Source organism: Homo sapiens, chromosome 2, assembly GCF_000001405.40.
Source record: "Homo sapiens chromosome 2, GRCh38.p14 Primary Assembly".
NCBI lineage: Eukaryota > Metazoa > Chordata > Mammalia > Primates > Hominidae > Homo > Homo sapiens.
The window spans coordinates 121961753-121986013 of record NC_000002.12 but is presented as its reverse complement, the minus strand read 5'-3'; the positions used below and the strand labels follow the sequence as shown (position 1 = coordinate 121986013).

At 42.2% G+C, this 24261-nt stretch overlaps 1 long non-coding RNA gene across 8 annotated transcripts in view, besides 1 other annotated feature; it reads right to left on the bottom strand.

The window, feature by feature from the left end:
• LOC105373592 (uncharacterized) overlaps positions 1 to 24261 on the bottom strand; it is a 530486-nt gene that overhangs the window by 446925 nt on the left and 59300 nt on the right. The gene's annotated exons all lie outside the window — the stretch shown is intronic.
• Positions 9450 to 9957: an enhancer, noted in NCBI's record as "H3K27ac-H3K4me1 hESC enhancer chr2:122733633-122734140 (GRCh37/hg19 assembly coordinates)". NCBI's record gives its function as "activates a minimal SCP1, AML or CMV promoter by ChIP-STARR-seq in primed H9 embryonic stem cells {active_cell/tissue: H9 hESC(primed)}" and the evidence as "EXISTENCE:reporter gene assay evidence [ECO:0000049][PMID:30033119]".

Sequence of the window (24261 nt, the reverse complement as noted above, 5' to 3'; positions counted from 1 at the left end):
AAACAAAATTGTCAACTTATAGGATTTAAATAAGACCCAGAGTTTTATAATATTCAAAACATTCAGGACATAATCCAAAATTGCTCAGCAGTTACAGAACCAGGAAAATCTCAATTAGTATGGAAAAAGACAAACAACAGATGCCAACACCAGATGACACAGATGTTGGAATTATCTGAAACAGACTTTAGAAAAATGTTCCAAGAAGTAATGGTTAACACTCCTGAAATGAAAAGGTATAAAGTCTCAGCAAAGAAATCCAAGATAGAAAAAACAACCAAATGGAAATTTTTATATCAGAAAAATATAATAACCAAAATAAAGAACTCACAGGATAGGCTAAAAACAAAATAGAAATGGCAGGAAAAAAAAAGTCAGTGGATTGAAGAAAGGTAAATTTTAGCAAAAGATCAAATATTAGTGTTATCAAAGTCTCAGAAGGAAAAAATATGTGGTTCTGAAAATTTTTTTGAAGAAATAATGGTTAAAAACTTTCTAAATTTGGCAAAATATGAACCTACAGATCCAAGAAGCTCAGCAAAGCCAAATAATTCATATCTAGATACATCATCACAAACTTCTAAAATCTGTTTAGATTTTAGAAGTGTGTGTTTACACAAAAAATGTGAAAGCATCTAAAGAAAAATGATACATTAGTTATAGGGAAAAAACAATTCAAATGACTGCAAGTTTCTCATCAGAACCCAAGAAAACCACAAGACTGGCAAACTGTTTTTCAACTCCTAAACCAAAAGAACTGTCAAGTCAGACTTCCTTATTCAGTTAAAAAAAAATCCTTTAAAAATGAAGGTGAAATAGGTAGATCCTCAGATACTCAGATAAAAGGTGTTATTGTTTGAATGTATATGTCTCTCCAAAACTCATATATTAGAACTTAACCCCCAAGGTGGTGATAGTATTAACAGGTGAGGCCCTTGGGAGGTGATAAGGCCATGAGGGCTCCACCCTCACAGATGGAATTAGTATCCTTATAAAAGAGGCTTCAGAGAGCTGCCTCCCAACTTCTGTCCCTTCCACCATATGAGGACACAGCATTCCTCCACTTCTGGAAAATGCAGCAAGAAAAGCACCATCTTGGAAGCAGAGAGCAGCCCTCATCAGATATCAAACCTGCCAGCACCTTGATCTTGGACTTCTCAGCCTCCAGAACTGTGAGAAATAAATTTCTGTTATTTATAAATTACCCTGTCTCAGGTATTTTGTTATAGCAGCCCGAACAAATTAAGACAAAGGGAAACTAAGATAATTAGTTGCCAACAGACCTTCACTAAAAGAATTACTGAAGGAAATTCTTCACAGAGAAGGGAGATTATATCAGAAGTAAACTTGGAGGCAGGCACAGTGGCTCACACCTGTAATTCTAGCAGTTTGGCAGACCAAGGCAGGGGGATTGCTTGAGTTCAGGAATTTGAGACCAACTGGGCAACACAGTGAGACCAGTCTCTACAAAAAATTTTTTAAAAAAATTAATTGGGCACGGTGGCTCACACCTGTAGTCCCAGTTATTTGGGAGGCTTAGGTGGGACCACAGATTGCTTGAGCCCAGGAGTTCCCGGCTGCAGTGAGCTGCAATTATACCACTCCAGCCTGACCCTGTCTCAAAAAATAAATAAATAAATAAATAAATAAATAAATAGAAAAAAAAGAAGTACACTTGGAGCACCAGGAATAAAGGAAAAATAGTAAATATCTGGGTAAATGGTAAATATATGTACTAGTCCATTTTCACACTGCTGATAAAGACATACCCAAGACTGGGCAATTTACAAAGGAAAGAGGTTTAATTGGCCTTACAGTTCCACGTGACTGGGAAAGCCTCACAATCATGGCAGAAGGCAAGGAGGAGCAAGTCACATCTTACATGGATGCCAGCAGACAAAGGGAGAGGTTTTGCAGGGAGACTCCCATTTTTCAAAACCATCAGATCTCATGAGATCTATCACAAGATCACGAGATTCACTAGCTCGAGAACAACACAGGGAAGACCTGCCCCCATGATTCAATTACCTCCCACCAGGTCCCTCGCACAACACATGGGAATTCAAGATGAGATTTGGGTGGGACACAGCCAAACCATATCAATATAGTAGGCTATTTTTCCCTCTTGAGTTTTAAAAATATGTTCGAAGGTTGAAATAAAAATTATAGTATTATCTGATGGATTTTCAATGTAAGTAGATGCAATACATAGCACTATTGTAACACAAAAGGAGTATAAACGGAGTTATATGGTGGTAAGATTGATGATTTTACTTGATTGTAAAACATAGTAAACATTAATTCTAAGTAATCAACCTAATCCGTAGTCAATATAAAGTAATCAGAATTACTTTACAGAGTAAATCTTAAATGTGAAAAGCTAAGGATATATATATATTGTAATCCCTAGAACAAGCACTAAAATAAATAAACTTATTTATTTATATTTTGGAATATTAAAAAGTATTCAATTAAGCCAAAGAAGTCAGGAAAGGGCATACAAAGGAACAGAAAATAGAGGTAACAAACAGAAAACAAATCAAATGGTAGAGCTAAATCCAAACATATCAATAATTACATTAAATGTAAATGGTCTTAGTTAGGAATTAGCAAACTGACTTCAAATATAATGAGATAGGTAAGTTAAAAGTAGAACAATAGAAAAAGACATTTCATGCAAAAACTAATAAAAAGAAAGTTGGGGCTGGGCACAGTGGCTCACACCTGTAATCCTAGCACTTTGGGAGGCCGAAGCGGGCAGAAACTTGAGGTCAGGAGTTCGAGACCAGCCTGACTAACACAGTGAAATCCCTATCTCTACTAAAAATACAAAAATCAGCCAGGCCTGGTGACCCATGCCTGTAATCCCAGCTACTCAGAGGCTGAGGTAGGAGAATTGCTTGAACCTGGGAGGCAGAGATTGCAGTGAGCCGAGATCACACCACTGGACTCCAGCCTGGGCAAAAGAGTGAGACTCTGTCAAAAAAAATAAAAAGGAAGGAAGGAAGGAAGGAAATGCCTATATCATCAAAACATACTTCAGAGCACAGAAAATTATCATAAATAAAGAGACACATTACATAATGATAAAAGGTCCAATTCATCAAGAAGACGTAACTATCCTAAGTGAATAAGCTCCTAACAACAGAGCTTCAGAATACATGAAGCAAAAACCGACAGAACTAAAAAAAGAAACAAATCCACAATTAAAGTTGAAGTCATATTGGCTTCTACTCCTGCGTAACAAATTATCACAAATTCACAGGCTGAAAACACAGCACATCAATCATTGCACAGCTTCTGTGGGTGGGGTCTGGGTACAACTTATCTGGATCTTCTGCTTAGGGTCTTATAAGGCTGCAATCAAGGTGTGGGCCAGGGCTGATTTCTCATCTGGAAATTTGACTATGAAAGCTTCTGCTATTAAGCTCCCTCAGGTTTTTGGCAGAAATCATTTCCCTATGGCTATAGGGCTGGGAGCCCCAGACTCTTGCTGCTTGTCGGGTGGATACTTCCCTCAACTCCTAGAAACTACCCTGTTTCCGGCCCCATGGGCCTCTCAACACAACTATTTACTCCTTCAAGGTCAGCAAATGAAATTCCTGGAGCACATCTTCTTGGAAGATGGACTCATATAATGTAACATAATCTCGGAAGTTACATCTGTCACCTTTGCCATATCCTAGTGGTTAGAAGTAAATCACAGGTCCCACTCATACTCAAGGGGAGAGAATTATATGAGAGGGTGAACAGTACACAGGGATCATTGGGTACCATCCTAGTGTCTGTCCTTTACAGAACCTTCAGTAGTCTTTTTTTCTCAATAATCAATACAACTAGTACATAGACAATCATCAAATATATAGGAGAACTAAACAATAGCTTTAACCAATTGGATCTAATTGCTATAAGTAGAACATTTAATCCAATAGCAACAGAATATACATTCTCCTCGAATACACTAATACATATCATATGTATTAGTCATAAAACGAATTTTAACAAATTTTAAAGAATTAAAATCATATAGGCCGAGAGTGGTGGCTCACGCCTGTAATCCCAGCACTTTGGAAGGCCGAGATGGGAGGATCACGAGGTCAAGAGATAGAGACCATTCTGGCCAACATGGTGAAACCTCAGCTCTACTAAAAACACAAAAATTAGCCAGGCATAGTGGTGTGCGCCTGCAGTCCCAGCTACTCAGGAGGCTGAGGAAGGAGAATCACTTGAACCTGGGAGGCAGAGGTCGCAGTGAGCAGAGATCACGCCACTGCAGTCCACCCTGGCGACAGAGGGAGACTCCGTCTCAAAAAATAAAATAAAATAAAATAAAATAAAATAAAATAAAATAAAATAAAATAAAATAAAATAAAATAAAATCATACATAGAATGCTGTCTGACCATAATGGAATTAAACCAGAAACAATAATAGATAACCAAAAAAATCTTCAAACATTTGGAAATTGAAAACCACACATCTGAATAGTCCATGGGTTAAAGAGGAAGTCATAAGGTGAATTAGAAAATCTTTTAAACTGAATGAAAATGCAGATCTGAATTCTCAAATTTTGTCAGATGCAGCTGAAGCAATACTTATGGGTAACTTAGAGTATGGTATGCTTACATTAAAAGGGAAGAAATGCCTCAAATTAATCATCTAAGCCTCCACTTTAAAAAACTAGAAAAAGAAGAACAAAATAGAGCCTAAGCATGTGAAGGAAAGAAATAACAAAGATAAGAGCAGAAAACAATGAAATTGAAAACAGAAAAAATGATAGAAAAAATCTATTAAAATAAGAGTTAACTTTTTTGAAAAGATCAAAAATGAGTACACCTCTAGTAAGAAAAAGAAAAAGAGAAGAAAGATACATATTACTAGTATAAGGATTGAAAAAGGGAATATCACTACAGATGCCACAGAAATTAAAAATATAATACAATGGTCAGGCACAGTGGCTCACACGTGCAATCCCAGCTCTTTGGGAGGTCGAGGTGGGCGGATCTCCTGAGGTCAGGAGTTCGAGACCAGCCTGGCCAACATGGCGAAACCTCGTCTCTACTAAAAATACAAAAATTAGCTGAGCGTGATGGCAGGCACCTGTAATCCCAGCTACTCAGGAGGCTGAGGCATGAGAATCACTTGAACCCAGAAGGCAGAGATTGCAGTGAGCTGAGATCATGCCACTGCACTCCAGCGTGGGGGACACAGCAAGATTCTGTCTCCAAAAAAAAAAAAAAATACATATCTATATATATATATATGTATGTAATAAAGCAATACCATAAACAGTTCTATGCAAGAAAATTTGACAATGGAAATGAACCAACTCTTTGAAAACCAAAATAAATCAATTCATTTAAAATAAAACAGATAACCTGTGTAGTCCTATAACTATTAAATAAATTAAATTCATACTTTAAAACCTCCTGGAAAAGAAATCTCCAGGCCAGATGGCTTCACTGAAAATTCTACCAAACATTTAAAGAAGAAATAACACCAATCTCTTCTAGCATAGAGTTTGACTCATTTTATGAGTCCAGCATTAGCTTAGCTACAAAGCCAAAAGCAGTACAAGAAAATAAAGTAACAGACCAGTAACCCTCATAAACACAGATGCAAAAATCTACAGCAAAATTTTAGCAAGTTGAATCTAACAATATACAAAAAGAATAATAATTATGGCCAAGTGGGGTTTATTCCAGGAGCACAAGTCTGATTCAACATTCAAAAATCAATCAATCAATATAATATACCACATTAACAATCTAAAAAAGAAAAACTTCATAATCATATAAATTGATACAGAAAAGGCATTTGCCAAAATTTAATATCCTTTCATTACAAAAACTCTCAACTCACTAGGAATAAAAGAGAGCTCTACCTCAACTTAATAAAAGGCATCCACAACAAACCTATAGTAAATGTCAAACATAATGGTAAAAGACAGGATGCTTTCATCCTAAAACTGGCAACAAGGTAAAAATGTCCACTCTCTTCACTCTTATTCAAAATTGTACTAGAAGTTAAAGCCAGAATATTAAGATGATTGAGGGAAAAAGTATACAGATTAAAAAAGAAGAAACAAAACTATCCATTTTCATATATAACATGAGTGTTCACACAGAAAATTCCAAGGAATCAAAAAAAAGTAGGGGTAGGGTCTAAGGGTTATAAATGAGGCTAATAGTGAGTTTAGGACTAAGGATAATAAGTGAGTTTAGCAAGGTCACAGGATAAAAGGTCAACATTTTAAAATTAATTATATGTCTGAAAACAAAAAATAAAAATAATACCATTTACAACAACTCTAAGAAAATATTTGGGAATATATCTAACAAAAATTACAGGATTTATAGACTGAAAACTATAAAATGCTGATGAAATAAGTTAAAGAGACCCTAAATAAATGGAAAGACATACAGTGTTCATGGATTGGAAGACTCAGTGTAGTAAAGATGTCAATTCTTCCCAAATTATCTATTGATTTAATGCAATTTCTGTAAAACTCCAAGCCCGATATTTTATAATACAGACAACCTGATTCTAAAATTTATATGAAAAGCCAAAGAAACTAGAATAGCCAGAATAATTTTGAAAAAAAAATAAACTTTCAAGACTCAAACTCCCCAATTTCATAACCTATTATAAAACTACAATAATCAAGACAGCATGGTATTAGTGAAGAAATAAACACATGGGTCAATGAAACAAAATGAAGAGTTCAGAAACAGACCCACACAAATATGGTAAATTGACAATGGTGCAAAGACAATTCATTGGAGGAAGAAAGGATAATTTTTTTAACAAATAATATTGGAACGAGTGGACATTCATATGCAAATGAACGTTGACTTGAACTTCACACCCTACATAAAAATTAACTAAAAATAGATTATAAATATAAACTATAAAACTTTAAATAAACACACACACAGAAGAAAATCTTCATGACCTGGTAATATGGTTTGGTTTTGTGTCCCCACCCAAATCTCATCTCGAATTGTAATCCCTACATATTGAGGAAGGGACCTGATGGGAGGTGACTGCATCATGGGGGTGGTTCTCCCATACTGTTCTCATGACAGTGAATGAGTTCTCATGAGATCTTGATGGTTCTATAAGTGCTTAGCAGTTCCTCCTTTGCGCTCGCTCTCTCTCTCTCTCCCCCTCTCTCTCTCTGTCTCTCCCTGCACCTTGTGAAGAAAATGCTGGCTTTCCTTTGTCATCTGCCATGATTGTAAGTTTCCTGAGGCCACCCCAGCCACGCAGAACTGTGGGTGAATTAAACCTTCTTTCTCTATAAATTATCTGGTCTCAGGTATGTCTTTATAGGAGTGTGAAAATGGACTAATACACCTGGGATTAGGCAAAGAATTCTGAGACATGACACCAAAAGTACTGTTCATAAAAGAAGTGTTTGATAAATTGAATTTCATCAAAACTAAGAACTTCTATTCTTTGAAAAACATTGTTAAAAGAACAAAAAAAAAAGCCAAAAACTGAGGGAAAATATTTGCAATGCATGTAGCTGATAAAGGACTTGTATCCAGAATACATAAAGAGCTCTCAAATCTGAATAAGAAAACAAACCAGCCACAAATGGGCAAAAGATTTATACAGTCACTTTAGCCAAGATGTACCAGTGGAAAATAAGCACATAAAAATATGCCCATTATCATTCATCCTTACGGAAGTATAAATTAAAATAATTAGATACCACTACACACCTGTTAGAATAGCTAATTGTTGTTGTTGCTTAACGGAAAATCCCAAGTGCTAACAAGGATGCAGAGCAAATGGAACTCCTACACACAGCTGATGCAAATGCAAAATTATATGCTTTAGAATATATGATATGGCAGTTTCTTACAATGTTAAACATATCATACCAACCAGAAATCCCACTTCTAGCTATTTACCCAAGGGAAATTAAAACCTATGTCTGTACAAGCACCTGTACATGAACATTTATGGCAACTTTTCCGTAATCACCCAAAACTGAAAGCAACCCAAAGTTTCCTCAACTGATTAATAAACAAACTATGCTACAACCATGCAATGGAACACTACACAACAATGAAAAAGGAGCAAACCACTAACACACACGACATGGGTGAATGCCAGATGCATTATGCTAAGTGAATAATGTCAGACCCAGAAGGCTACATACTGTATAATTCCATTTATATGACATTTTTGCAAGGTCAAAAATATAAGGATATCAAATATATCAGTGTTTGTTGGGAGCTGGAAGAACTTTAGGGGCTACAGAAGAATTCCTTATTCTGATTGTGGTTATACAACTATGCAGTGTTTTTGTTTGTTTGTTTTTGTTTTTTTAATTCTCAGAACTGTATACTAAAAAGGGTGGATTATACTTAAGTTTTTAAATGGAAGGGTGTGGTGTGTGGCACTGTGTATCAATCCTTTTTCTGTTCCTTTACCAGGCACGTGCTGAGCCCTTACTCTGCACCAGATGTGTGAATTCCCCAGTTGTTGGCACCCAAGATGGCACCTCCCTGTAGACCACAGACGGCTGGGCACCCAAAGCAGCATAAGTTTTGCTGCTGCCTCGTCCTCTTGGCCTGATACAACAGAGTTTCATTGCTCAGTTTCCAAGAATGTATTTACTTACAACCCACCAGGAGACCAAAATGAGAGCTCTCCAAAGCAATTTTATCCTCTGGTTTTAAGAACAATTTTGCAATGCCTTTATAGAGCCAGCATGAAACTAAGAATGCATACAATCTCAGTAACAGAAAAGCAGAGTGGGTAAGGCCACACTGCCCTGAGACTCTCCTCCAAGGATTACTTTGGGTCGGGCCCACCCTGATCCTATTGCCTCTCTTCCTGCTCTCAACAGAAACTTGATAAGCACATCAGACCCGTGCTGGAAAACAGGCCTGTATTTTCTCTAGCACGAAGTAATTTCTACCCAGGGACTTTCCTGACACAGTTTGTCAAGCAAATTAGATTGTCAAGCAAATTAAAAGTAGCTGCTAAAAATGTGACCCTGAGCTGCTATATTCTTGTTACTCTGATCAACCCCACCCCTACATCCTGAAATCTGCTTAAGGGCAGCCACCTTCTCCATGGCTCCCCAGTGCCTAGGCCAGTTCTCAGCACACATTAGGTGCTAATACATGGAATCAGTCAGTGAATGAATGAGCGAATATAAAGCCATTCAAAATTCATTTCTTAAAAAGTGTATCTATTAAAGAATTGAATCTACTTGAATGCTTCTCCTCAGTGTCATTGTGGCTGAAGAGACAATGATAGCAGTAAACTCTTCTAACTGATAGGACACTTTTGTTGGGGGCATGGGGTGGACCATCTTTCATATTTGCTCGGCTCAGGAACATTGCATGTGTACAGACACCTTGACAGATCAGGAGGGCCTCCAAAAGCCCTTCCACGTACATAGCTATCAGTGTGACTCCGATATCTACTGGAACAACCCAAACTCTCGACATCTGGGTAAAAGTGAATAAAATCCCTAATTCCAGTGTGTGGAGCCTTCACCAGGATTTTGCAGAATCCCGAGGGACTTCCAGGGGCACGGCCCAGGCAGCTTCTGGGCTGTCTTCCACTCATGCCTCCTCTATTCTGTGCCACATCAACTGGTCCAGATGTGAACTGAGGCTTTCCCCAGTTCTCTCTCTCTCTCTCTCTCACACACACACACACACACACGTACACACACAGCACATAACACAAAACTTTCATGTGAAACTTTGGCAAGTAAACTTCACTGAAGACGAGGGGAGGGGTGTCCATGGGGCCGGCTCCCACAGCATGCAGCCCAGTCAACTCCGAATCAGGTGTCAGGCATTCCTGTTCCCTCTCGCTGACCCGCGCCCAGAGGCCATTGTCCGGACAGCACCCGCACTGGCTGGAACTCCAGGTTTCCCCATCTTGCCTGCTACTCCCTCCTCTTCCTCCGGCCTCCTTCCTCACCTCTCCTCTTTCAAAGGATATAAAACAAATCGTCCTCATTGTCTCATTAAAAGCAGTTTAACATCCTTTTTGTGACCTGAGACCCCTCTAGCACCCTCTTTCTCAGTGGTGTTTCAAGACTTTTCCCAAAGACAGCTCCTCCCCAAGAGGGACCCAGAGCCTGATGTTACAACACCAATGGCCCTGCCCTAGGCCGGGGCACAGCAAGAGCCAGGGGGCTCTGGCCTGGCTCCATCACCACCCCCTCCACGTCAGCAACACCCCTGGCAGAAAAGAGCACAGGACAAGGCCACGCATTCCTTGTCCCCCCTTTCATTAAGTGTCCAAGTAGTTGGATCTAATCCATTAGAGGCCTGGTCCCTCCCTGGTGCAGGACTCATTAAGCCATCACCTCATACCTGCTATGCCTGTCAGGTTCCAGAGTCCTCCCTCTCCCCCTGGCTGTCAGGACCTCAGACTTCAAGTGCTGCCCCCCTTGAAGTATGTGGCACTCCCCTTGAAGTATGTGACACTCCCCTTGAAGTATGTGGCACCCCCCTGTGACCTTCCAGGACCTCAGTGCTCCCTCCCAGGGCTCAGATAGCAGAGTCCAAAGGGAGGCTGCTGTAAAACCGCAGGGAACGTTGCCTTGGGGCTAAGCAGAGAAGCCATCTCTTCCTGGATAACAGAGGTGTAGCTGCAGACCCTGCAGAGTGGGATAATGCACGGTGGCCTCTGAGACCGGACTGCTGGGCCACTGGGCGTGGACCCTTTCGGAGCAGAGTGCACCCTACAGGCACTTTCTGTTTGTCAGAAACATCGTCCTAATAGACTTTGTTAGATCACGACGCTTTACTGCCATCTGCTGGAAGCTTATTATAATAAATACACAAACCTACAGAGTGAATGGTGCCTGCCTTGGTGTGGACTCCAATGGGCAGTGCTTGTTCCCCACAACAGAATGACGACCTGCCCTTGGCCCGGCTCCAGTCCCTGGGCACCGAGACACCAGGAGAGGCCGGGGGTGCACAGTAATGCATCTGGGCATGGGTGAAGCAAAGTCACATGTCCCTTCACCATGCAGCCAGCCCATGCTGAGCCCAAGAATCACATGAGGGAGGAGTCTCATGATATGCTCAGCCTTTGCAGCAAAATGTCCAGAAAAAAATGAATTGCAAATAGGTTAAGGCCCAAAGTAGGCAGTAATACTATGCCCTGGAGAGAAGTCAGACCAAGGTCGGTGTACTGACCTTGTCTTTTGTTTTCTATATTCTTGATGCTTTGACATTGGGGCCCTTGCTTACCCTGGAGGGACTTCCCCTTCCAGAGTGAGGCAGTTCTAAAACTAGTGTGGCCCCTTGGCATGGGGTGCCCCCTCCTCTTGGGAACTGTGAATAACAAACAGTCTTTTCAATGGCAATTCGATCTGTTGGCCTTGCTGTACGCCGAAGTTTCTGTTAATACACTCTACTTTAACACAGTGCATAATCAACATACTAAATAATGCCTGTTTTCAGAAGGAACATATGTGGACTCCAACTGCCATGGCTCTGTCTTTGCTCCAAATCCTAGTAGGATCCTGCTACCTGCCCCACCTGTACCCACCCAACTCCTGGTTTGCCCAGAGCCACACACTCCTCCTTTTATGCATGTTACTTGCTGTGGTCTGGTCTTATTTCTTTCTGGTTTTAGCTGCACTATCTGCCTAGTTTGCATTAAACAAACATTCGAAACTGAATCTCTTATTTTAAAAAGACACCTTTTTACACTCGACCTGACGAGTCTTTCCCCTTGGGGGTGGCAAAGTGTACCTAGGACTCCCAGTTCAGGGTCTGGAATGGGACTCACCTGGCTTTTATCCCAGATCTACTATTCAGTAGCTGTGTGACATCAGAAAAGTTAGGGAGGTAATATGGAGAGTTAAGAACAAGAGCTCTGGGGCTCATTTGTCTGCATGTAGATCCTAGATCTTCTCCTTACCAGCTGGGTAACACTCAGCAAGGTTCTTAACCTCCCTGAGCCTTAGTTTCCTCACCTGTAAAATGGGGACCATAATCATAAAACCCACTTCATAAGTTTAAAGAGGTTAATATTCATACAGTGCTAAAAGCAGACCCTGGTGCAAATTTGTTTAAATTTCTTATAGATGCTTGATATTAGACCTTTGTCAGGTGCATAGTTTGCAAAAATTTTCTCCCATTCCTTAGGCTGTCTGTTTACTCTGTTGATAGTTTCTTTTGCTATGCAGAAGCTCTTTAGTTTAGTTAGCTCCCATTTGTCAATTTTTGCTTTTGTTGCAATTGCTTTTGGTGCCTTCATTATGAAATCTTTTCCTGTGCCTATGTCCTGAATTGTATTGCCTAGGTTGTCTTCCAGGGTTTTTATAGTTTTGGGTTTTACATTTAAGTCTTTAATCCTTCTTGAGTTGATTTTTGTATATGCAACACCGTATTTTCTTAGACGATGAATGTGAATGCTCTTTAGACACTTGCTACTTTGCCACAGTCCCTGCTGCTTCCCAATATCTCAAATTCATTCATGTATTTTACCTCTCTGGCCACTGCAGCCTTAGAGTTTCTGACCCCTACAAGTTGACTGGAGTCCAGGAAAACAATGACTTTCTATTCCAGCAGGCTGGCTTTTTACCATGCCTTCCTGTGCATATTTTATCATTAAAATCATCCATTTTCCCTGGAAGTGCCAGTGATGGGTTTGAGGAAGGTCACAGGAAAATCTAAGGAGCTTATCCTCTTTTTACACCCCTTTTCAGAAAGGCACAGTGGCCAGCCAGTATTCTGTCACTTTGAAGTAGCAGTATAAAGAGGAGCCTGACCACAGGGTCCTTGAAGCTCTGAGCAGTTCCTCCAGAAGCCCCAGGTGAGATGCAGCTGCTGGCTGGGAGCCACAACTTTCCCAGAGCCCAATGCCTGGAGGCCGAGAGCCGGGGGATAGGCTCAACTCCCACAGGGGATGCCACATCCAGGATCACAAAGGTATCAGCAATTCATCAAACATAATCACCACAGATTGTATTCATGGAGGCTGGATAGAATTAGGAAGCTGCAGGCTACAGTGGATGCATTTCTGATTAGAATTTCTCAGCCCTGAGCTACTGAGGATAATGAAAGTCATCACTGGGAGAGGGGCAGAAAAAGGAAAGTAGAGAGAGAAGGAAGGCAGACACCAGTTTGGCCCCCATCCTGATCTCTAAATGGAAGGAGCACAAAGATCCCTCTATAGTTCATTTTCCCTCGGGCTCCTGCAACCTCATCTCTCTTTGAGGACTGGCTGCACCACAGGGGCCCCAGGCCCTCACCTCACACCCACTCAAGGGAATGTCTGGGGTACAGCCCCATAGCTATTTCTCACATATTCCCTGGGTGAGATTTCAGAAGCCCTGCACTAGAGAAAGACAAACAGTAGTAATAAAGACTGCCTTTCACAAGTCTTTCTTTGATGTTTTTAAAATCGTTTTTAAAAATTCTTTAAAAAAAACATATTTTGATATAAAGACCACTAAGGGGCCCCCAAGATTGCAGTTACCTATCATTCATTCTGAAGCGTGGGGAAAGGCGACTGGTGGGAAGGAAAAGTGAGCTAATAGGGGATTTCGCACAAGCATAATGGAGCTACATGGCTCTTATAGGACACATGCCCTATTTTGCATCCTGCCCTATGCTCTGCACGGGACATGCAAAGATGAAAAAGGTAAGCCGCTGTGCACTTGGGACAAAAGACAAGAAACAAAGGACTCCAGCACAAACAATTTGTGCTCAAAGGAGGGATGCCACTGAAACTGGAGGCTAATCTGATTAAGTTGCCAAACTTAACCTTCCTGCCTGCTTTTTTTTTTTAATTTTATTATTATTATACTTTAAGTTTTAGGGTAATGGCTTATTTCTAGTCGATCTTAAAACTCCCACTAGCTTCCTTATAAATAACATCTCTGACTGTGCTTCACGATAGTAACAGTTGCTTCAGGTTGTTTTTTGGGAACTAGCGGTCAGCTCTTGTTTAGTTCAAGCCGGCTGGGACCACAAACTCTTCAACTGGGCCTGCATAGGTACCCAAAGAGGCTTCTATGTCAGAAGGCCAAAAGTTCCACCCTCCAATCATGCTAACACACTTATTTTCTGCACATGTGTCCTATGAAGAGCCATGTAGCACCATTATGCTTGTGCAAAAACCCTTATTACCTCACCTCTCTTTCCCACCAATCACCTTTCCCCACACTTCAGACAACCACAATTTCTCTCCTATAATTACCCCCACACCCGATTTTCAGGGAGGTGGATTTGAGATTTGTTCAACTGTCTCCTCACATGGCAGCCTTGAGAATAAAATCTTTTCTCTTTTGAAAAAAAAAAAATCATCACCACAGTGATTGGCTTGTTTCATGTAGGCAGAAATGAACCTGGTTGCTAACACAAGGGTGCTGAGGGGAGGGTGGCAAAGGCAACTAACTGGGAGAAACCAGGGAAGGCTTCATGGAGGAAGTGACATTGAGATGGGAAAGAGAGGAAGGCTTTCCATGGGGGCACCACCAAATGTCAAAGAGTCCTCTGCAATGGTGGAGGCAGATAGTTAACCACCAAATCTACCCTGGCTGTCTTCCGGTTACAGCCTTGTCAGTGGGCATAAGTCAGCACAGGTGAGCGCCACACTTCCCAGCCTCCCTCTGACAGAAGTTCAGGTCACAGGATGTAAACAGAACTGATGTGCACAATGTCCAGGTCATCTCCAATTTGAAAGGTGAGCCCTTTCAGGAAGAGTTTTAACCAAGGAAGCAGCATGATGCATTTGGTGTTTTTGGAAGTCCCCTAGGACAGCCAGGGCTGAGGGTGAGTAGCCAGGAGGGGAGAAAAGAGCCAGGGAAATTTACAAGAAAGTTCCTTCCATTGTCTAGACAAAAGCAGATGCTCGTCCTGAACTCCGCTAGTGAAGGAGGGGCAGTGAGCAGCAGGACCCCCGTGACAGAGCCTGAGTGCAAGACTGAGGAAGGGCGTGAGTCTGACTCAGTCACCCAACCTCAGTCTCAAAATACAACTTCCTTTCTCATGTTCGCTCCAGCAGTCCATCCTCAAATGCACGGGTGCAGCCCCATATGAGACCCACCCACCCACCCACCCACAGTCAGGACGGCTCTCTTGCTGATGCCACACACCCCAAGACCCATGTGCCACCATCCTGAACATCCCCCAGGAAAGGACTCCATGGATGTGGGCAGCTGAGAAACTGTCCTAAATTCCCTGGGGGAACCTCACCAGGCACATCCAACCCTTCCGAGTCACAGGCAAACCTAAAAAGGCAACCCTCCGGGTGCCTCAGGGCTGTAGGGAAAGGACAGAATATCTCCAAGCCATTGAAAACAACTGAAGACAAGAGAATTATAAAAGAAAATGCTAGATGTGTCCCCAAAATGGTGAGTTAGAGAAGGCACATTTGGCCAGCAAGGATAGGAAAGGGTTGGAAAAGGAGTCCCGCACACATTCGCCTGTTAATAATCTTCATCTATCTCCTGACGCCTCCACAGGGAGGATTTCTCTCAACTGGAAATAAATAACTCAGGGATCAAGGATATAATTGGAGCTCTTGATCCAGAGTGTGACCTTCCACTTTTCTCTATTTATTTTTTAGATTAATCAGAGTCTTTACTGGGCTCATGTCAATAAACAACAGGCTTTTTCAATATATACCACCTGCACATCCAATATATCCAAGAAAATAAAAACATATCCACAGGGATTAGTAGCCATGAATCACCAGGAGCCAAAGAAAAGTGCTGTAGATTTTAATAGCCCCAACTATCTGTCTCTTCTAAATGGAAAAGAGGTCAGCCCAGCCAGCCCATGCTCAGGAAAAGGAAATGTGATATACCTAGCCATATTTTTGATAAAACATTTGCTTGAAGAATAGCTGTGTTCTGATGGCTGCGTCATGCACAAAAACAGGACTTGAAGCTGAAACATAAGCCTATCTGCGATAAAAAAGAAATACAAGGGAAAAAGGGAGCAGGAAGAAAGACAAGAGACAGCAGGAAGGAAGGGAGGAAAGAAGAGAAAGATGAGAAGAAAATCCCAGCAGAGAGCACTTCCTCTTCCCTGTGGTGTGGTTTGGAAAGGCTGCCACAGCTGCAGGGCATTGAGCAACCTGCTCACCTCTTCCAGGACTCAGTTTCTTCAGCTGTAACCCGGTGGAGGAGGCAGGCAAGCGTGTGCGTAGACTTAACAAATGACAGAGGCATCTTTGCAAACCACTAAGGAAAAGACAGATTGTTCAATAAATGGTGCTAGGACATTTGATAACTTAAATGGAAGAGAATAAAATCAGATTCTCATCTCTAACAGCCCACAAAAATAACCCCAGAAGAATTAAAGACTGTTAACAAAATACCATGAGATCTGCAGAGGGAAAAGAGAGCTTTCCTTCCTGAAAGCAATCTGCAGATTAGGGAGGCTCAGACTTCAGTACGAGTGAAAGTGTGCTCGCTGAAGAGCAAAGGGAGTGAATGTTCTTGCCCAGGTTCTCAATCAGGTCCATTTGTTCTAAAAAGGATTCAAACTTGTTCAGTTCAGATGGAACCAAATATTCGAGCTCTGATTGAGTAGTTTCCAACCCTAAAACCAGAAGTTTCTTTCAAACAACTGGATTGGAGTGGGGAAGAGAATGTTCTGGAAGCAGTTTATTTTGGCTCTGGTTATAGGAACTGTTCTGGCTCGGGGATATAAAGCAAAATGTTTGTCAGGAGCTGGTTTTTCTGAGAACCAAGGACATGTGACCATTCTTCATCAGCCCGCATCGCTGCCTGGTTCTGCTTTTAAACTGGAAGCGTCTCTATTATTCACAGGGAGCCTGTCTCTATTAATCACAGAGAGCTTGGAGTCTTATTTTAGTTTTATTTCACAAGGCCTAAATGGAGAAAGGCAAATTTTAAACTTTTATGAGAAAAATAGGCTATCTTTTTAACTCCTACGTAGAGAAGCCTTTGTAAAGAAATCACAAAAAGCATAACCCACATAGGAGAATTTTGGTAAACATAACACATTAAACTTTTTAAACTTTCTTGTAACAAAAAACATCATAAACAGCATCAAAAAACAAAGGCAATAACTGAAGGAAAAAACATTTTTTAGGAAAAAAACACAATTAAAATAAAAACTAGGCAAAAACGAGAAATACAGATAAGTCCCAGAAGAGGAAAACAAATGGCCAGAAACAGGGAAAGATATCAGCCTCACAAGGAATTGGGAAAACTTAAATTCAAACAATAAGACACCATTTTACAGCAAAGAGAGTGGGAAAATCCCTGATAATTCTGAGTGTTGGTGAGAATGTGGAGAAGCAAAAACTCACCTAAAAAGTAGCTGTTGTACCCTGAGAAGCTGATAACCAGAAAGCAATTCCCTTTCTAGGAATATTCAGTAGAGAAGCTCTCACTAACACACACAACAAGATGTCTGGACAATAATATTCCCAGAAGCTTGGCTTACAATATCAAAGATGGTACAAACATCCTAAAGGTCCATCACCAGGAGAATGGCTAAATGGCTTGAGGTATACCTCATCTTTATTTCATTCATACATGGAAAGCTATTCATATATGGAAATCCCAACAACAGGGCTGAAGGGACAAAACGAGGTTCAGGAGGATATGGCTAGTGTGATATGTGATACCATTCGTTTGCAGCAACATTGTAAGCTGCAAAGCAATAGTATGTGTTGTCTGTTATACACAGATACTAGTGCACATGGAAGACACACATGGCTGGTAAGCACCAAGCTCAGGATGCAGCTTACCTCTAAGGTGAGATAGAAAGTGATGAGACTATGCCAGGTTCCATGAAGGAGCATTAGCTGCGTCTGTCATGCTACTTTTTTTTTTTTTTTGAGAGGGAGTCTCACTCTGTTGCCCAGGCTGGAGTGCAGTGGCATAATTTTTTTTTTTTTTTGTATTTTTAGTAGAGACAGGGTTTCACCGTGTTGGCCAGGGTGGTCTCGATCTTCTGACCTCGTGATCCACCCACCTCAGCCTCCCAAAGTACTGGGATTACAGGCGTGATGGCCCATATTTCTCTAAAAAGCTGAATCAGGCTGGCTGTGGTGGCTCACGCCTGTAATCCCAGCACTTTGGGAGGCCGAGGCAGGTGGATCACCTGAAGTCGGGAGTTCCAGACCAGCCTGGCCAACATGGTGAAACCCCATCTACTAAAAATACAATAATCAGCTAAGCATGGTGGCAGGGGCCTGTAATCCCAGCTACTCGGGAAGCTGAGGCAGGAGAATCACTTGAACCTGGGAGGCAGAGCTTGCAGTGAGCCAAGATCGCATCATTGCTCTCCAGCCTGGGCGACAGAGCGAGACTCCGTCTCACAAAAAGAAAAAAAAAAAAAAAAACAAGAAAGAAAGAAAGAAAAGAAAAGAAAGGAAAATAGTATATATTCAAGGTGTTCTGCATGATTTTATATACGTATACACTGTGTCCTGATTACCAAATTAATTAACACATCCTCACCACAAGCAGTTACCATTCGTGTGTGTGTAGGGAGCGGGAGGGAAGTAAGGACACTAAGATCTGCTCCCTTAGATAATTTCAAGTAAATAATGCAGCATGATTAACCACTGTGAGGGATTTAGTCTTACAATCAACTTTCCCTAAAGTACTTCCAGTAAAAAATTATTATTATGAGTATTCCCCCAAAAGGATTCCATTATCCAATGCTTTTAGGAAATAGATATGGTTTGGGTCTGTGTCCTCACCCAAAACTCATGTCAAATTATAATCTCCAGTGTTGGAGGTGGGACCTGGTGGGAGGTGATTGGATCATGGAGGCGGTTTCTCATGAATCATTTAGCACCATGCTCTTGATGCTGTTCTTGCAATAGAGTTATGGTGAGATCTGGTTGCTTAAAAGTACATAGCACCTCCCCCCTCTCTCTCTTGCTCCTGCTCCAGCCATGTAAGATGTGCCTGCTCCCTCTTTGCCTTCCATCATAATTGATAGTTTCCTGACGTCTCCCCAGAAGCTGAGCAGATGCCAGCACCATGCTTCCTGTACAGCCTGCAGAACCACGAGCCAATTAAAACTCTTCTTTATAAATTACTTAGTCTCACGTATTCCTTTATAGCAATGCAAGAACAAACTAATACAGAAATGGTACTTTCTAAATCTCCCTTCTCTGGGATTCACACACACATGAACATATTAAAGGCTCTGAGAAGTCCTGCAAAAAAGAAACTTTATTAACTTGGGTATCAGTATTTCCGAAACTTAGCTAAGCATAGAATTCCTTTCAGCCCCTCACCTCACAGGCCCAGGGATCCTCAGAAACACTTTGGGAGATGCTGGGCTATGAGAGCTCTGACACTAGATGTTTCTATGAGATGTGCTGGGGAACTCAACAAGTAGCTATTGCACCCAAGAGTCTGATGTATGCAAGCCAGGCAGGTGGGGAAGAAGTCTGGGTGAAGCCCAGGACCAATCCCCATGAGCGAAACCTCATTGTCACCACGTTTTGAGAGACAGGGAGAGGAACTCAGCAAAAGTCATGCTCATGACAATCTCAACATTAGATATTTTTCCCTGCAAGTCTCCATCATCCCCATTCACCCACCCCCAACACCACTTCTCCTTCTAGATGCCCCATTTCACTTGGGTTGGACTTCCAACCTCCAAGTCAACCACCCTGTGTGATCCGCTCATCTGAAAGTCCCTGCGCTGGCCATCTCTGTGCTTACATGTGTCTTTAACCTCCGTATTCCCCAGCCTGCCAGGACGCAGTCTCTCCCTCTGCATCAGGATGAGAGCCCCAGGCTCCTCATGGTCCTCCCGCCCACTATGTCTTTTCCTCGAACACATCCTGTACATCCTCCACTCCGCAGGTCACTTTTTCTAGAACACTAAAATGGCCACAGTACCTCTCCACATCCCTATCACCCTGAAAACTGAATCCCTTTCCACATTTGAGCCCTGCTTTCACTCCCATCTTCATCTCCCTTATCCCCAACTTAATCCCCTCTACTGCTGTCCCCAGGATGTGCGGCGGGGCTTCACACCTCCATACTTACCTCAAGCCTCCCCTCACCACGGAACTCTGTCTCACCTCTCTGGGCCTGGCCAGCCGCCTGATCAGACACCCAACCAGCCAGTCAACCTTTCTACTGTGCTCTCTGAGCTCCTTGGAGGCAATTTTCTTACACTGCCACACCTTGCAAGGAACTGAACAGGAAAACATTAACAGCTATTTCTCAAGCAGGGCATGTGACTGACGAGAGAGAATGAGAGGAGGTGAAGGAGGTGCTTTGCCCACGGCACCATTGGGATCTCGATGGATTTAAGTGTTCTAAACATTTTTGACACATAAAACAAGACATGTCCAGATTTCAAAATGGGATATTAGATTTTCTTTTGGCCTCACAAGAACAATAAAGCACTGTAAAAATTTTAGGTTCATTAAATGTAAGGCTTTTCTGTTGTTTTTCCCCAAAATGCTGTCTTCCCTTCTCTCAACACAACTAACCCATCACATAAAATGAATATAAGCCTCAGCCTCCAAGCTGAGAGTCCCCAGAGATCAGGGTGGGCTAATGAGAATTAAAGAGTGGCCTTAATCACATGATCATAGAAATCGATTGTATTCTATTTGAATTTTATGCTTTTGCAAAGCATTTCCCCATTCCATCATTTGTTTGCCATTCACATTAATTATAAGATAGATACAGCAGATATTACTCCCACCTTGCAGAGAACTGTGAGACCAGAGAGTCTAAATGTTTGTTTAAAAATTTGTTGATCAAATTTGAAACCCAGAAGTGTTTTTTTTTTTTTAAATTAACTTTTATGTTAGGCTCAGGGGTACGTGTGAAGGTTTGTTACATAGGTAAACTCATGTCATGGGGATTCTTTCCACATATTATTTCATCACCCAGGTATTAAGCCCAGTACCCAATAGTTATCTTTTCTGCCCCTCTGCCTCCCCCCACCCTCCCCCTTAAGTAGATCCTAGCTTCTCTTGTTCCCTTCTTTGTGTTCATGAGTTCTCATCATTTAGCTCCCATTTATAAGTGAGAACATGCAGTATTTGGTTATCTGTTTCTGCATTAGTTTGCTAAGGATAATAGCCTCCAGCTCCATCCATGTTCCCATAAAACACATGATCTTGTTCTTTTATCGCTGCATAGTATTCCATGATGTATATGTACATTTTTTTATCCAATCTGTCACTGATGGGCATTTAGGTAGATTCCATGTCTTTGCTATTGTGAACCGTGCTGTAATAAACATTCAAATGCATGTGTCTTTATGGTAAGATGATTTATATCCCTCTGAGTATATACCCAGTAATGGGATTGCTGGGTCAAATGGTACGGTAGTTCTGCTTTTAGCTCTTTTTTTTTTTTTTTTTTTTTTTTTTTTTTTGAGACAGAGTCTCGCTCTGTCGCCCAGGCTGGAGGGTACTGGCGAGATCTCGGCTCACTGCAAGCTCCGCCTCCCAGGTTCATGCCATTCTCCTGCCTCAGCCTCCCGAGTAGCTGGGACTACAGGTGCCCACCACCACGCCCAGCCAATTTTTTGTATTTTTAGTAGAGACGGGGTTTCACTGTGTTAGCCAGGATGGTCTCGATCTCCTGACCTCGTGATCTGCCCACCTTGGCCTCCCAAAGTGCTGGGATTACAGGCGTGAGCCACCGCACCTGGCCTGCTTTTAGCTCTTTGAGGAATTACCATACTGCTTTCCCCAATGGTTGAACTTATTTACACTCCCACCAACAGTGTATAAGTGTTCCTTTTTCTCTCCAACCTCACCAGCATCTGTTATTTTTTTACTTTTTAATAATAGACATTCTGACGGGTGTGAGATGATATCTCATTGTGAAAACCCAGAAGTTATTAGTTCTGACAGTTAACATGTATTATTTACTATGTGACAATCATGTTCTAAGACTGTCTTATTTGATCTGATTTAATCTTCCCAACCACGCTATGAAGTGGCTGCTATTATCATTCCCACTTTACAATGAGAAAATTGAGTTTCTTTCCACTCAACCACAACCCCCAGATGAGGAAGGAGACTCTATCGCCCATGGTTCTTGGTTATAAGTGACAGAAACTGAACCTCGCTGCTTTAAGCAAAGAGAATATTTATTAGAAAATATATTGGGTTTGGATGCAAATGGCTTCCAGCTGTCAGAAAAAAAAAGCCTATTGGTTTCATAGCTCATCTTTATTATATTTTTATATTCACTATTGTTTTATCTGAATGTTCTCTTCTTTCTTTAATAAGTAAGTTCAAAGTTGATGAAAGATGATGCACTGCATATATGTCCCAGTTAGGAGTTTGCGATTTCTCACTTGATTTAAATGTGCTAAAGCAACTTCCAAACTGCCACACTTTTTTCAGCTTTTAGAATGAATTTTGCGTCTGATTTAAAGAAAAATAAGTATATAGGCTGATTGACAGGAAGAGATGGAAAACCACTCAAGAGGGGATAGAGAAGCACTCTGAGGCTTTGCAACCAGAAGCAAAGCCCAAGTTCATCCCGCAGACCCAGGCTGGGGCCTCCCCCCAGCCACTGACCCAGGGCATTGCCCTGGCCCAGCACACACCGCCTACAGCCCCACTGTCTTCACCACCGCAGATGCAGTCCCTGACTACCATTCAAACCCTGGGTAACCTCAGGACTGGCCAAGCCTAAGTTCCATGCCTTACGCTGGTACTGAGGGAGGTGGGAAGAAGAGAAGCAGCATGTCCAGCTTCAATTATGGGAAGTGGGCCTGGATCCACAAGGTGGGGAATTCCCCACACATAGCAGGGGCAAGTCAGATGCTGGACAGCTCAGAACAGCAGGGTCCACATATAGACAGGTGAAAGCCACTCAGGAACGGAACTGAGCCTCCCCTGCCTGTCCTTTGTGCCACCTTTCCACGAAGGCCATGTGGGTTTGCTGGAGGGTTGTGGGGGCAGGGAGATATCTGCCTTTTCCAGACAGTTCCGCACACAGTTTCAGAACATCGTCTAAGGTTTCTAACAATAGCCTCGGAGTATTTCCGAGATTGCACTGCGCTCCTCCTGATGCTGAAGACCTGCCAGCCCACTGCTCTCCCGGAAGATGTCAGGGAGGGGTATGGAGACCCTTGGGCCACCCTTGTGTCATTCCTGAGTCAACATCTGCAAGCTCAGTGCTGTGGAGGAAAGAGAGTGGGAGGAAGAAAAAGAAGGATGAAAATGGAGATGGGAAAATGTAGCCCCTCCGGTGCCATCCCAAAGGGTGGAGCCCAGGGTTCCTGAGCCACTGGCTCACCCTGAAGGCTTGTCCAGGACGGTTCCCGAGCCCCTCTTCTGCTTCAGCCAGGTGGCACCAGGAGGGGCCCTGGCTGCCACAAGAAGATGGCCTTTCCTCAGTCACACCTCCCAGTCTTCTTGGCACCCAGGATGGCAAGTAAAAACAGATATTGGAGTGGAGGGTGTTTATTTTACCATGACCCAGCTGCCTTCCTCCTTCTTCCTGGATGAAGCCTTCTCTGATCCCTGACCCCTGACCCTCTGACTTCCTGACCTCTAGACCCAATAGTCTGGTGCTATTCCCACCCCTCCTCTGTGCCTCCCTGGTACATACTTACTGCATCACACCCCATTTTATGTATTTTTCACATGCATGACTTGATTTCCATGAAGGCAGGGATTCTATTTTATTTCAAGGTATAACTCCAGAGCATAACAGTATGCCAGAGCATATGCAGTCCCAATATGCAAAATTCATTTTAAGGATTTATTAATTACAAGGCTGCTTGTGCTAACCAATTTCTCAGTACTTATCAAACAGCAAGAACTTGAACTCTTTCTGCCCAATATTTACCAATAGCTCAGCTATAGAAAACAATATTTATGAAAACTTGTCAGCCTATTTATTTTTGTAGATCAGAACTCATGAACTGGCAGCCCAAGGCTGAACTTGGTCCTCGGAGTATTTAGTTGGGTCTTTGTGGTCTTTGTAAGTGGGAGTGGAATGCCCTTACCAGAGCTGGTACTCACCAGCTCCCCACCGGCCTGCCTTCCTGCTATCACACACAGCAACTGCCTGCCACACCCTGGAGGCATTCGGGTTTATCCCTCCTGCTTCAGATGTGCTAAGATGTTACTTTCGGAGGAAGTCTAAGACCAGACTGCTGCATGCCTGGGCCTCATTGCTGGGTACAATGTTAACTCCCTTTACTGAGTTGAGCTTAGATGATGTGCCCACAGCCAGTGCCAAGGATGCAAGACAGAATAGTCCTGTGCAAGACACTCCTCCTCGTGTTCTTGTAAGAATGGTTTGATGATGTGG